At 39.2% G+C, this 12,842-nt stretch overlaps 1 protein-coding gene and 1 long non-coding RNA gene across 4 annotated transcripts in view; one reads left to right on the forward strand and one right to left on the reverse strand.

The window, feature by feature from the left end:
* Positions 1-6,067: 6,067 nt before the first annotated feature.
* NDFIP2-AS1 (NDFIP2 antisense RNA 1) lies at positions 6,068-9,935 on the reverse strand. The gene is made up of 3 exons (NR_046685.1): positions 9,856-9,935; positions 8,540-8,634; positions 6,068-6,323 (listed from the first exon to the last, which is right to left on the reverse strand). It is a non-coding gene; the product is annotated as an NDFIP2 antisense RNA 1 (long non-coding RNA).
* NDFIP2 (Nedd4 family interacting protein 2) overlaps positions 9,859-12,842 on the forward strand; it is a 74,923-nt gene continuing 71,939 nt past the window's right edge. For 2 of the 3 annotated variants that reach the window (NM_019080.3, NM_001161407.2), the window contains exon 1: positions 9,859-10,228. In NM_019080.3, coding sequence (NP_061953.2) covers positions 9,908-10,228 — 321 coding nt within the window. In that variant the 5' untranslated portion in view covers positions 9,859-9,907. The remainder of the gene's footprint in view (positions 10,229-12,842) is intronic. The other variant, NM_001394685.1, reaches the window with a different exon arrangement.

The following is a 12,842-nucleotide window of genomic DNA, read 5'->3' on the forward strand; positions in this document are numbered from 1 at the left end:
TTTTGAGGTTCTGGAAATATTTTATCTCTTAATGTGGGTGCTGGTTGCATGGGTTTATTCAGCTGGTGGAAAATCATCAAGGGGTACAAGTACATAAAAGTATACACAAGGCGTGTACTTTCCTGTATTGGTGTATATTGTGATAAAAAGTTGTTAAAGTAAAAAAAAAAAGCCAGCAAATCTCCCTTCTCCAGTTGTTTGTGACCTTTGTTAAAATTTCTTAGGATTCTAAGACTCAGTTTCCTGATATATGTAATGGTAATAGTACTTATTCTATATGTTTGTTGTGAGTTGACACATATGAAGTTGTGACTTGATACATATGAAGACTTAGCAAAATGCTAGCAGTATTCAATAAATGTTAGCTATTATTGCCATATTATGATCGACAAACATAGTAATAGTTTCACTTCTGGATAAACAACTAGCGACATATTTTCTATGGTTACACACACTGGAATCTATTGCGAATTTTGTGACGAGTTATTATGTAAGGTAGAAGTCCAGACACATAGCGTAGAAAAAATATGGAGTCAAGCTGGGAGACCTAATTGACTTGTCTGTTCTATTAGATAGTCTCCACCCTCCCTGAATTACAATTTTTACTCCATATTTTAAGTGCAAAATATTTTAAATTTTTTCTTTTTTTTTCTTCTTTGAGAGCCACTGGAAAATTATAAGCCTTTATACTTGTATGGTTATATACAAATATAACATATATACAAATATATGTTGAGCTTCACAACAACCTGACAGATAGGGATGGAATTAATATTCTGACATTAAAGATGAGCAAACCAGCTCAGCAGGTTAAGTGACTTATCCAGGATCACCTTGCTAATATACAGCAGAGTTGGGACCATGGCTATTACAAAATTATTTGGATAATTCAGTAAGTGAAGGAAGGAGATGTTTTGTTGTTGTTGTTTTTGAGGCAAGGTCTTGCTCTGTTAACTTGGCTGGGGTGCAGTGATGTGATCATAGCTCACTGCAACCTCTAACTCCTGGGATCAAGGGATCCTCCTGCCTCAAGCTCCCAAGCAGATGGGACTACAGGTACACACCACTGAACCTGGCTAATTTTTTTATTCATTTATTTTTTGTAGAGACAGAGGCTTCACTTTGTTGCTGAGGCTGATCTCTGGGTCTTACTCTGTTACCTAGGCTGGAGTGCAGTGGCGTGATCATAGCTCACCGCAACCTCTAACTCCTAAGCTCAAGTGATCCTCTTGCCTCAGCCTCCTAAAGTGCTGGGATTACAGGTGTGAGCCCAGCTGGAAGGAGAATAATGCAAGGTGAATAGTAAGAGAATATTTGCTTGAGCAATGATATCCAATAAACTTTCTGTGATGATGCAAATGTTCTATATTTGCTGTGTCCCACATGGTAACCACTAGACACATGTGGTAACTGAGCACTAGAAATGTGGCCAGTATGACTGAAGAACTGAATGTTTAATATTTTAATATTTATATTTAAGTGGTCATATGTGGCTAGTGGCTACTATATTGGACAGTGTAGTTGTATTGTTTCAGGAATCATGGTAAAGTCCCATGGTCAAAATTTGGAGGCTGGACTAAGCGAGGTAGGCTCCCACATACTTTACGTGTTTAGTTTCTCTTTTATCCCAACCTTATATAAATGGAAATGTATGTGTGGAGTTGGGATTCTTTGGTTTTTAAGCTTGAATACATACAACTAATGTTAGGTACTTATTGTATTTTCAATGATTATTTGTGGAGGACACTTTTATTGTACTTTTAAAAGTTGATGTTTTACTTGTTTTAAAGCATCAACCCCTGAGAGGATTCACAACTATATTAGAATTTATCCTTTTTGGTGACAATACAATGCCTGCAATGTTTCTTCCAAAAACATTTTTGACATGTTGAGTTCATAATGTGTTTGAGTTTTATAATACTGATTTTTATTAGTGCTGTTTTAGAAGGCTATTTCTAGTTGGATGAGGTAGGAACGGTCAATAGACTATTTTGGATTGTTTTATTAGTTACCACATTTGAATCAAGCTGGAAGTGAGATGGAGTTGCTTCCTAGATATCACTCTGAGGCTGCATTTACCTCTCTAAGCCTCAGTTTCCATATCTTTAAAATTAAGCTGTTGGGGTGGGTGATCTCAAAGTTATAGGATAAATAAAGGCTAAAGTTTTATGGTTCTAAGAAAACATGCATTTTCTTTCTTTTCTAGACAACTGAGTTCTAAAGAACTTACAGGGACTACAGGGAGCCACATCATCTGTCCCATTTAGACAAAAAAATTAATTTTGATTTTCTACTACCTGTGCAGTATTTGCGTGTGTGTGTGTGTGTGTGTGTGCGTGCATGTGGTTTTGTAACATTTATGCTTTTTTTTATTATATTTTAAGTTCTAGGGTACATGTGCGCAATGTGCAGGTTTGTTACATAGGTATACATGTGCCATGGTGGTTTGCTGCACCCATCAGCTCGTCATCTACATTAGGTATTTCTCCTAATGCTATCCCTCCCCCAGTCCCCCACCCCCTGACAGGCCTCGGTGTGTGATGTTCCCTGCCCTGTGTCCATGTGTTCTCATTGTTCAACTCCCACCTATGAGTGAGAACATGTAGTGTTTGGTTTTCTGTCCTTGTGATAGTTTGCTTAGAATGATGGTTTCCAGCTTCATCCATGTCCCTGCAAAGGACATGAACTCATCTTTTTTATGGCTGCATAGTATTCCATGGTGTATATGCGCCACATTTTCTTAATCCAGTCTATCACTGATGGACATGTGGGTTGGTTCCAAGTCTTTGCTATTGCAAATAGTACCACAATAAACATATGTGTGCATGTGTCTTTATAGTAGCATGATTTATACTCTTTTGGGTATATACCCAGTAATGGGATCACTGGGTCAAATGGCATTTCTAGTTCTAGATCCTTGAGGAATCGCCACTCTATCTTTGACAATGGTTGAACTAATTTATGCTCCCACCAACAGTGTAAAAGCGTTCCTATTTCTCCACATCCTCTCCAGCAACTGTTGTTTCCTGACTTTTTAATGATCGCCATTCTTACTGGTGTGAGATCGTATCTCATTGTGGTTTTGATTTGTACTTCTCTAATGACCAGTGATGATAAGCATTTTTTCATATGTCTGTTGGCTGCATAAATGTCTTCTTTTGAGAAGTGTCTGTTCATATCCTTTGCCCACTTTTTGATGGGATTGTTTGTTTTTTTCTTGTAAATTTGTTTAAGTTTTGTGGATTCTGAATATTAGCCCTTTGTCAGATGTGTAGATTTCAAAAATTTTCTCCCATTCTGTAGGTTGCCTGTTCGCTCTGATGATAGTTTATTTTGCTGTGCAGAAGCTCTTTAGTTTAATTAGATCCGATTTGTCTGTTTTGGCTTTTGTTGTCATTGCCTTTGGTGTTTTAGTCATGAAGTCTTTGCCCATGCCTATGTCCTGAATGGAATTGCCTAGGTTTTCTTCTAGGGTTTTTAGGGTGTTAGGTCTTACATTTAAGGACCTCTTCAATAAGAACTACAAACCACTGCTCAACGAAATAAAAGAGGACACAAACAAATGGAAGAACATTCCATTCTCATGGATAGGAAGAAAAGGTAATTTATAGATTCAATGCTATCTCCATCAAGCTACCACTGACTTTCTTCATAGAATTGGAAAAAAACTACTTTAAAGTTCATATGGAACCAAAAAAGAGCCTGCATAGCCAAGACAATCCTAAGCAGAAAGAACAAAGCTGGAGGCATCATGCTACCTGACTTCAAACTATACTACAAGGCTACAGTAACCAAAACAGCATGGTACTGTTACCAAAATAGACATATAGACCAATGGAACAGAACATAAGCCTCAGAAATAACACCACACATCTACAATCATCTGATCTTTGACAAACCTGACAAAAACAAGCAATGGGGAAAGGATTCCCTATTTAATAAATGGTGCTGGGAAAACTGGCCAGCCATATGTAGAAAGCTGAAACTGGATCCCTTCCTTACACCTTATACAAAAATTAACTCAAGATGGATTAAAGACTTAAATGTATGCTTTTGTTTTTAAAAGTCAGTATCTGGAATTCCACTTGGTGTCTTCACCTTTACTGGGGAAATCATGCCAGATTTCTCAACAATCATCTTCATAAACAGAATTTATAGATATTTTATGAGAATTTCACATATAATTTAGGTGAAGTGAAATGCAATATAAATATTTTATTTTTTCTAGGATATACCAGCCAGATACAAAAGGAACTTCCTTTTTTTTTTTTTCCAGACATTATCTTGGCTTACTTTGGCATTGTCAGGCCACTAGTTTTTTCACCTATTTGAATGTTAAAGCCAGGAAATGAGTATAATTTTCTTCTTAGTTCTAGAAAGGCAGCATCTGGTAAGTTATTCCATCTGATTATCACTGTCATTTTATCCTTCAGATATTGAGTGACCTTTATCCTGAGGGCGGAAATCAGGCAACTTTCTTATATAGTGACCTTATTGTTGTATCAGAATATGTTGCTAATGGTGAAGCAGTGTACTGACATTAGACTGTGTTAAACAAATGAGGCCTGGTTTCTGTTATGAAAGAAAAAGAGCAAATGCACATTAACATGTTAAGAAGATCTGGATGTGTAGGAGACATTTCTCTTTCCTAATATTTTACACATACAGACACACACACACCACACACACACACACACACACACACAGTGTTTGTCTTCTTATACAATAATCACATTAGCCAGTTAAGGGACACCTGTCATAACAGCCCTATCCTCAGTGACAGTGCTGCTCTTCTATGGCTTACAGAGTAAAAAGGAGATGACAACATAGAAAGTCCTGCTTTAGCATGGTCAGAGAACAGCCTTCCATACCTAAGGTAAAGCAAAGATTATTTTAATAACTTATGAGTTATTCTAAGTTCAAATATGAATTCCCCAAAGCAAAATGGCTACTGATTTGCTCACATTTGTTGCCTATTACCAAACAAAGGAAAAATGAAAATGCTAAATAAAAATATTGTTAGGACTGAGATGCAGCTTATCAGAATTCAGATCTTTTCCAAGTGTTTACTGGTGATGCCATCATATATATGTATTATATAAGGCTGATAGGAAAACTTAAATTTAGGAAATTCATTTAAATTTCTAAGGTAACTCTCTGGTACTTCATTCCTTTCTCCTGTTCCTTCCTCTATCTTTTATCTTTACTATATAGATACTATATTAGTTTGTTGTATTTAAATAAACAGGGAATGTCAGTTCTCTCTATTAACTTGGTTAGATTACAGCCCTAATTATTCAAACACTCACATAGGCATTGTGGTGATTTAATAGATGTAATTAAAGTCTTGAATCAGTTGACTTTAAGTAAAGAAGATTATCCTCAATAATCTGGGTGGGTCTGATTGAGTCAGTTAAATGTACTTAAGAGCAGAACTGAGGATTCCCTGAGGAAGAAGAAATTCTGCCTGTAGACAGCAGCTTCAGCTCCAACCCTAGAGTTACAGGGGTCTGTCCTCTGGATTCCGGACTTGCTGGACCAGCCCACAGAACTGTGTAAGCCAATTCCTTGCAATAAATCTCTTAGGATATGTCTTCTGCTGACTCTGTTTCTCTAGTTGAATCTTGACTGATAAAAAGTTTTATTTCAGATTCTTTCAACATACTGGAGGAGAATAAAGAGAGGAAAAAGAAGTAGATACTTGTTTGTAAAATTGCTCACTTAGATATCCTCTCTAAAATTATAGAGCTGAACAGATGACGGAATCTCAGAACCAGTTAAATAAGAAACACTATGTGTAGCTAAACTGAGGTTCAAGCCTACAAACTGATTAAAAGATATATATACATTATAAAAGATTCAGAGATAAAACTGGAGTCATTATTGTGTTAATTTTCATTTATATGTGAAAAGCAATAGTTTCTTATATTTCTAAAATATGCTTTAGAATTTAATGTCCAGAAAATGATTGCTAGTGAATTTTCATTAGGTAGAAATAGAAATTTTCAGATAATGTAATTTTACCTCTTTCCAGTCATTCTACAGGTAATTATACAAAAACCACACATATTCCAAATGCAATTCATTACTAAGATCTGTGATCACACTAACCATCAATAGCCACTTTGAGTAGTTCTTTGTGGTAGAGGAAGTGATAAAAAACTAAAAATCAGTGAAGTGGTAAGGAAAATTTGGAACATCGCCTCCCTGTGATTTAGGCCTGTGTAGACGGCTTTCTGTAGGCAATGGCATGTCTTACTGCTCTTTAACTGGTGGGACTCCCAACGAAGAATCCTGGCATTTGGGTGTGCAGCTCAATATATCTGACGATATAAGAAAGAGGATGATGAATGTTAAGTTGCTAGTTTACCTCTAGAGGGAATGGCCCTGCTTCTGGGAAGGTGGGAGGGGTTCCCAACGGGAAGTACGCCTCAGGCAAAGAGGTCCCCATGAACTCTATATAGCATCACACTATAGAACAACATCAAAATCATTCTTAGTAGGAAGGCTTACAGATACATTACATCCACATGAGAAAATGCTAACAATGTAGAGTCCTGAGGGTTATTCTGAAGATGAAACACCAACCATGTAAAATGATAGTTGTAATTATCTAACACAATTTTGATAATACTGCTCTATCACTGTACATATTGGTACTTGTCTTAGTTGGGTTCTCCGGGATGCAGATGCTGATATAAAGTTTTCAGTGCAAGAGATTCACTGCGGAGCAATGTCTGTTAAAATAAAAAGGACTGGGCAGGGGGAGCTGTCGCAACATGCTGCAGAGCTGAAAAAGTCTCTGCCAGCTTCACAGGGAACTCTGAAAGTTTGTCCCTTTAAGGGCTTCAGTGTCTGGCAAAAATAGCCAGAGCCTTGTACCACTGCCTTGCTCAGTTAGTGGCTGGGTGCCACCCTGAAAATAGCACCTCCTCAGGTTGAAAGCTGAGGGAGACCCTGACAAAGCTACCAATTGGAAGTTGTCTGACAGCCACATTCCTTCCAGCTGGGCAGAGTGTGCTTTCTTGAAAGGGAATCTGGGCAGCTTATCTCCATGTCTACTCCAGTACTGCAGAGCAGCACTAGTAAAATTTTGGGTGGCTGTGTGTTTGGAGATGAAAATTGATCAAGCCAGAATGAGAGGTGTTAGTGAAGTGCACTAAAATTCTACAATTCTACTTGAGGTAGCTTCTAGTGCTGCACCACTGCAAATTCCTTAGATAACTAGAGTTGTCGCCATAATACCAGGGATTGAAAATATTATTGGATGTTGCTTAAGGTCTGTAAAATGGTAAAGAATATTGTTATTCCCACTGCATCTCAAGTAAGTTTCTCCTAGTGGGACAACTCAGTGCCTCTGCTTGTAATGGTCCATTACAGGTCACATGGGCTTAGTTGTAAAGTGGGCAAAAGAAGCTCAGAATGGCTCTTTTGGGGATGATGAATAAGAATTATTATTTTACATAGATCAAGAAGGTGGGATTTAAAGAAGTCAGATTGGCTCTTTGTGATACATTGCTATCTTTTTATGTCTTCTGCACGTTTCACAGTAGTGGTGGCTAGGAAGAGGAAAGAGACAAGGACTCTTCTTTATTAGGTGCATTATGCTTAATATAGTGCTTAATATGGTGGAGGCTCTGATGTCTGTCATCACCTACTAGTGATTTGGCATTAGCCAAGTTCATGAAACTCCTTGTGCCTTATTTTCCCCCCTCATCTGTTAACCAAGGAGTGCAACTGTGCCTATATCATGAAGTTCTGGTGAGGCTAAAATAATAGATGTATAGTACTGGCTTAGAAAGGGCTCTATACTAGTAAGCTGTTGTTCTACTTCTCCTTCCCCTCTTTCTCTTCCTCATTACAAATACGCTTTCCTGCTGAATTTGTTACTCCACTAGATTAGCAAAATGTTCAGAGAATCTGGGAGGAGGGTAAAATAGAAAGAATCTGTTACTCTATCAGGATTCAAGATGTCTGCTTTTGGTCAGATCTTTGATTTTTACTTTTATGTTCTCAGTGCTGCATTGGGTGTAAGAAATGGTCTCTGCCCTGAGCAGCCATCTATTTGAGAAACAGATGAACACATGAATGATTAATGAAAACACATATGCATATAAAATTAAGTTCTAAATAAATCTTATAGATCGTAAGTGATATAAGGATCTAATTTCAGTTTGCTGATACTGGCTGTTGTTTTGGTCATCGAGAGGCAATACCATTTGGAGTGAAATTGTGAGAGTGAGCGTTTGTACCAGTAATACCAATAAAATGGCATATGTTTATTGGCTTAGAAACTAAAATACATTAAGATCAAAACAAGGCAAGTTTAACAATATTTAAGTATGAGATATCACTGCCTCTTATTGTTAGCACAGTAATGCTTTATGCTATTAGACATGTCAAAACGGCACAAATAGGAAGAGTTGATGAATGCTTTAAAAAGAACTATGAGGAAGGCTTACATTTTTTAGTTGTCAATCTCTCAAAGAGTTTCTGTTTTTATTCTATCTTGCTATTTTAACCAGTTGATTAGGCTCACCCAGTGGCAGTCTTCATTTCAAGGATCTCCTCTGGACATTCATGAAGGAAATAAATGGGGCTCCAGATCCCTTTCCTTCCCTTCAGGGCGCTCCACTGTAAGATCATTTAGGGAAAATGTGGTGTTATGTTAAAAACATAGCTGGGCCACATCAAGCAGCATCATAGTTTTTAGGGTATAGAACGTTGGTCTTCAGGTTAAAAGGTACTTTTCGCTGCTCTGTCATACTCTTCTACTTGCTAGAGAAATATGCTTTATGCCGTGTCATGTGTGGTTAACCAGACAGTGAGATACTACTAACAGTGCTCCCAAGTGATTCCTTGCTGTTAAATCAATTGGAATTATTGAGTATTACCACAAAATAATCCTATCTGATTTCATTACTTTCTTCTAACGTCCTTCCAGTAACCTAGAACTCTAGAGACCTCTTTCTTTGAGAGTTGTCTGGAGAGTCCGTTGGATTTTTAAATCTCTTATTACCAAAAAGTGGAAAAAAGAGTTTAAAAAGTAACCAAAGAGCTAGTGCCTGTAGTCTCAGCTACTCCAGAGGCTGAGGCAGGTGGATAGCTTGGGCCGAGGAGTTCGAGGCTACAGTGAGCCATGACTGCGCCTGCTAACAGCCACTGCACTCCAGTCTGGGCAATATAGTGAGACCCCATCTCTAAAAAAACAACAAACAAAAACAAAAATTACCCCACAGAAGAATTTCAGGGCAGTGGAAATACTCTGTAGGATACTATAATGATGGATACCTGCCATTACACATTTGTTCTAACTCGAGGAGTATACAACAACCTGAGTGAACCCTGAGGTAACTATGGACTTTGAGTGATGATGAGGTGTCAATGCAGGTTCATCAGTCGTAACACATGTACCACTCTGAGGGGGGATGTTGATAATGGTGGGGGGTTATGCATGCGTAGGAGCCAAGTGTATATGGGATATCTCTGTAACTTCTCAATTTTTCTGTAAACTCTAACTACTCTATATTAGTCTTTAAAAAATCGCTTATCTTACGAATGATTTTGAATAAGCGTTTTGGGAATGTTCTAGAGATGAATCTCCTCCCCATGTCCTACGCTGGGTGAGGAAGTGTCGGGTACCCGGGCGACCTGTCCTCAGGTGTTCTAGGAACGCGGCCCCATCCCTTGTCAGCCTCTGTCTCTGTGTGGTGAGAAGGCGCACTGGCTCGTGCCTGCGCGAAACTCGCGCACACAGAAAAGACCAATCAAGGACGGGTCATTCCCGCCCCCCGCGCGCCTTTTGCGACCGCCCACTCGACAGGTTGACAACCTAGACAGCTCCCCCGGACTTGCCTTACTTTTCCATCTCCTCCCACCCAGCTATACCCTCCCACTGGCGGCGCGGATGGCACGCCGGCGGAGCCAGCGAGTCTGCGCGAGCGGTCCGAGCATGCTCAATAGCGCGCGCGGCGCCCCGGAGCTTCTCCGCGGAACCGCGACCAACGCGGAGGTCTCGGCGGCCGCTGCGGGAGCCACAGGAAGTGAAGAGCTTCCGCCGGGAGACCGCGGCTGCAGGAACGGAGGCGGAAGGGGCCCTGCGGCGACGACGTCGTCGACGGGGGTGGCCGTGGGAGCTGAGCACGGAGAAGACTCCCTCTCTCGGAAGCCGGATCCCGAGCCGGGCAGGATGGATCACCACCAGCCGGGGACTGGGCGCTACCAGGTGGTGAGTTCCCGGCCTCCTGTGCCTCCCGGGACTGCCTCCCGCCGCGGCGTCCCGAGAGTCCCTTTCCTCAGGTTATTCCCGGAGGAAAAGCTGTGGCTTTTTTTTGTTGTGTTTTGTTTTGTTTTTTTGGATCTTCTGGCTGGAGCTGCTTCACTCGCCTCACCTGCGCACTCCTGCCTAGGACTCCTTCGAAACCCTTCTCTCTCGCCCCAAGTCTGCTTAGCTCCTCACCCGCACCCTTAGCCCCGCTGTGAGACGCCCTCCCTCCACACACCTTACAACTTGTATCCGTTTTAATTTCTCACTTTATCATTTTCTTATTCTCTGACTCAGTCACTCCTGAGACATTCTAGTCGATTGTCTACTGGAAATGGGGCTGACTTCACATACCTGCCCGGAAGGTGATCGCCGTCATAAATGGGGTGGGTGAGTAGGTGGGTGGAGGTGTAAGTACTGCGTGGGGTGGGATGTGGATTTGGCAAAAATGTGGGTTAGGAATTGTGGAACTGTAGAGAAAGACTAGCCATAATGCTGATCTTGTCTCTCTGCTCGTTAACCTTGTCATTTTGTCCTTTTCCATTATGTTAGTATTAAAAATGACTGTATTTTTTGGTAATCCCCACTTTTTCTTTCTTTCTTTCTTTCTTTTTTTTTTTTTTTTTTTTTTTTTTGGTTAGAGGGGAAACAGAGGTAGTTTTAGTAGAACAAATTCTAATCTTGTTTGAAAAATTATTTTTCGTTAAATACAAGGTTTTCCAGCTTAACTGTGTAAACTTTGGTAACTATGTTGAAAAAAGTGAAATGTGTTCCTCTATATTTTCAGTGTCAATTTTTAAATATATTTTTCTTTGTGTATTCTGGTGGTGACGTTGGAGATTCCTGTTGTAAACCTTAGTTAAAGATGGACTGAGCAATAGTTGACTCTGCTGTTGTGCTGTTGCAGCTAGGTAGCATGTCATTCTACAAACTTTCAGCCCATTTACTGAGGGAGAGGAGAAAAACAATACATAGCACTGGTGATGCAGTTTATGGTTTATAAAATTTTACAAATTTAGGTATGTTAGTCCCAGGTTTCAACTTTCAAATCTATTTGCACATGTAAGACAGGTTATAAGCCAAGACTTTCTATTAATAAGTACATTTTGGCAAATATGAAGGAACTGTAAGATGAGATCCTAAAGTATGTAATTTTGCATTTTTCTAAGATAAAAGCTCATGAGGCTTCCATTTTCAATTGGTTTGCATTCCTTAAAACCTACAAAAGGTCCATATTCCGAATTCTTTGAAAATTTATCAGCTTTTCTCAACAACTTGGGAAATACTGTTTCTCCCAGTATGGAAAGCGTTTTTCAAGTTGTCAGTGTACACCCTTTTGATGGTTTGAAAGGCATTTCTAGGTTTGTAAATGTTAGCAAAAATAAAATGATATAAATATTGAATAATATCAGCAGTGAAACTTGTTTCATTTTTCCTACAGACGTCACTACCCAAAACACTGTTAATTTATGTAGCTCTCAGTTTTAAGATATTTGTTTTCCCAACAACTCCTTTCAAAATAAATGGGCATATTTTATTGCTGCCCCCTCCCCTCGTTTTTTTCAAACTGACGATGTGTCCTACATAGACTTTGAATGTTCCTTGAGAACAGAGGGCAAAAATCAGTTCTTCTAAAGATAAAGCCTACCAGTCCCTCTAAAGGTAGTACTTTAGGTAGGACATCGATCTGTTCTCCTTGTAAGGCAACTTACAACTAACATTGTAAGGCAATGTTAGTGTTAGAGTTACACAATTTACGTAGTCATTTAACCTATCTAGTATAACTCTTGGTTTTGTTTATAATGGCCTGATTAATAACATCAGTGTATGCCAGAGAAAAAGCTGAATTGACATTTTCAATAGACTTTTTAAACTAGGGATCAGTCTTCAGCTCTGGCTTATATGATGAACACAACTATTTTGTGGTTGCCTTTAGCTCAGTTTTTGGGAAAACTGGAATGCTTAATAAACTGGAGCAATAAACCACTTGAGTTGTTGAATGTTAAGGGATGACTAAGTCAGGAGATAGGCAAGTATACTTAGGGGTGAGATGGTATGCAATGTTAATTTTTCACTTACTTAAAGAGTTTAAAAACAGCTTTTCATACTGGAAAGCTAGCAGTGATGCTCAGGGTCATCAGAAGGACTTACTACCATTAGCCAATGCACAAGCTTTATCTAGAAACTGCTTTTTCTGTGATCTCTTCTTTCCTTTCATTGTTAAAAGCATCCAAAATTTATTGAGTAAAGCAGTGGATAACAGTTTAGAGCTACAAAAATTCTTGATTGTTACCCTTCTAATTTCAGAAAAAGCCAGGTATGACACGTAATTTTATGGGAAATTCAGTTTTGTTTGTTAGTAAATGAGCAGTGTTGCTAACTATGACGAAGTTGACTTGGCTTGCAGCTGCTAGACCACATTCTAACTTTGATGTTCGTTATTTTATTATTTATTTATTTATTTATTTTTATTTTTTGAGATGGAGTGTCTGTCACTCAGGCTGGAGTGCAGTGGCGTGATCTCGGCTCACTGCAACATCCGCCTCCTGGGTTCAAGTGATTTTCCTGCCTCAGCCTC

The sequence above is a fragment of the Homo sapiens genome, chromosome 13, assembly GCF_000001405.40.
Source record: "Homo sapiens chromosome 13, GRCh38.p14 Primary Assembly".
Classification (NCBI taxonomy): Eukaryota; Metazoa; Chordata; class Mammalia; order Primates; family Hominidae; genus Homo; species Homo sapiens.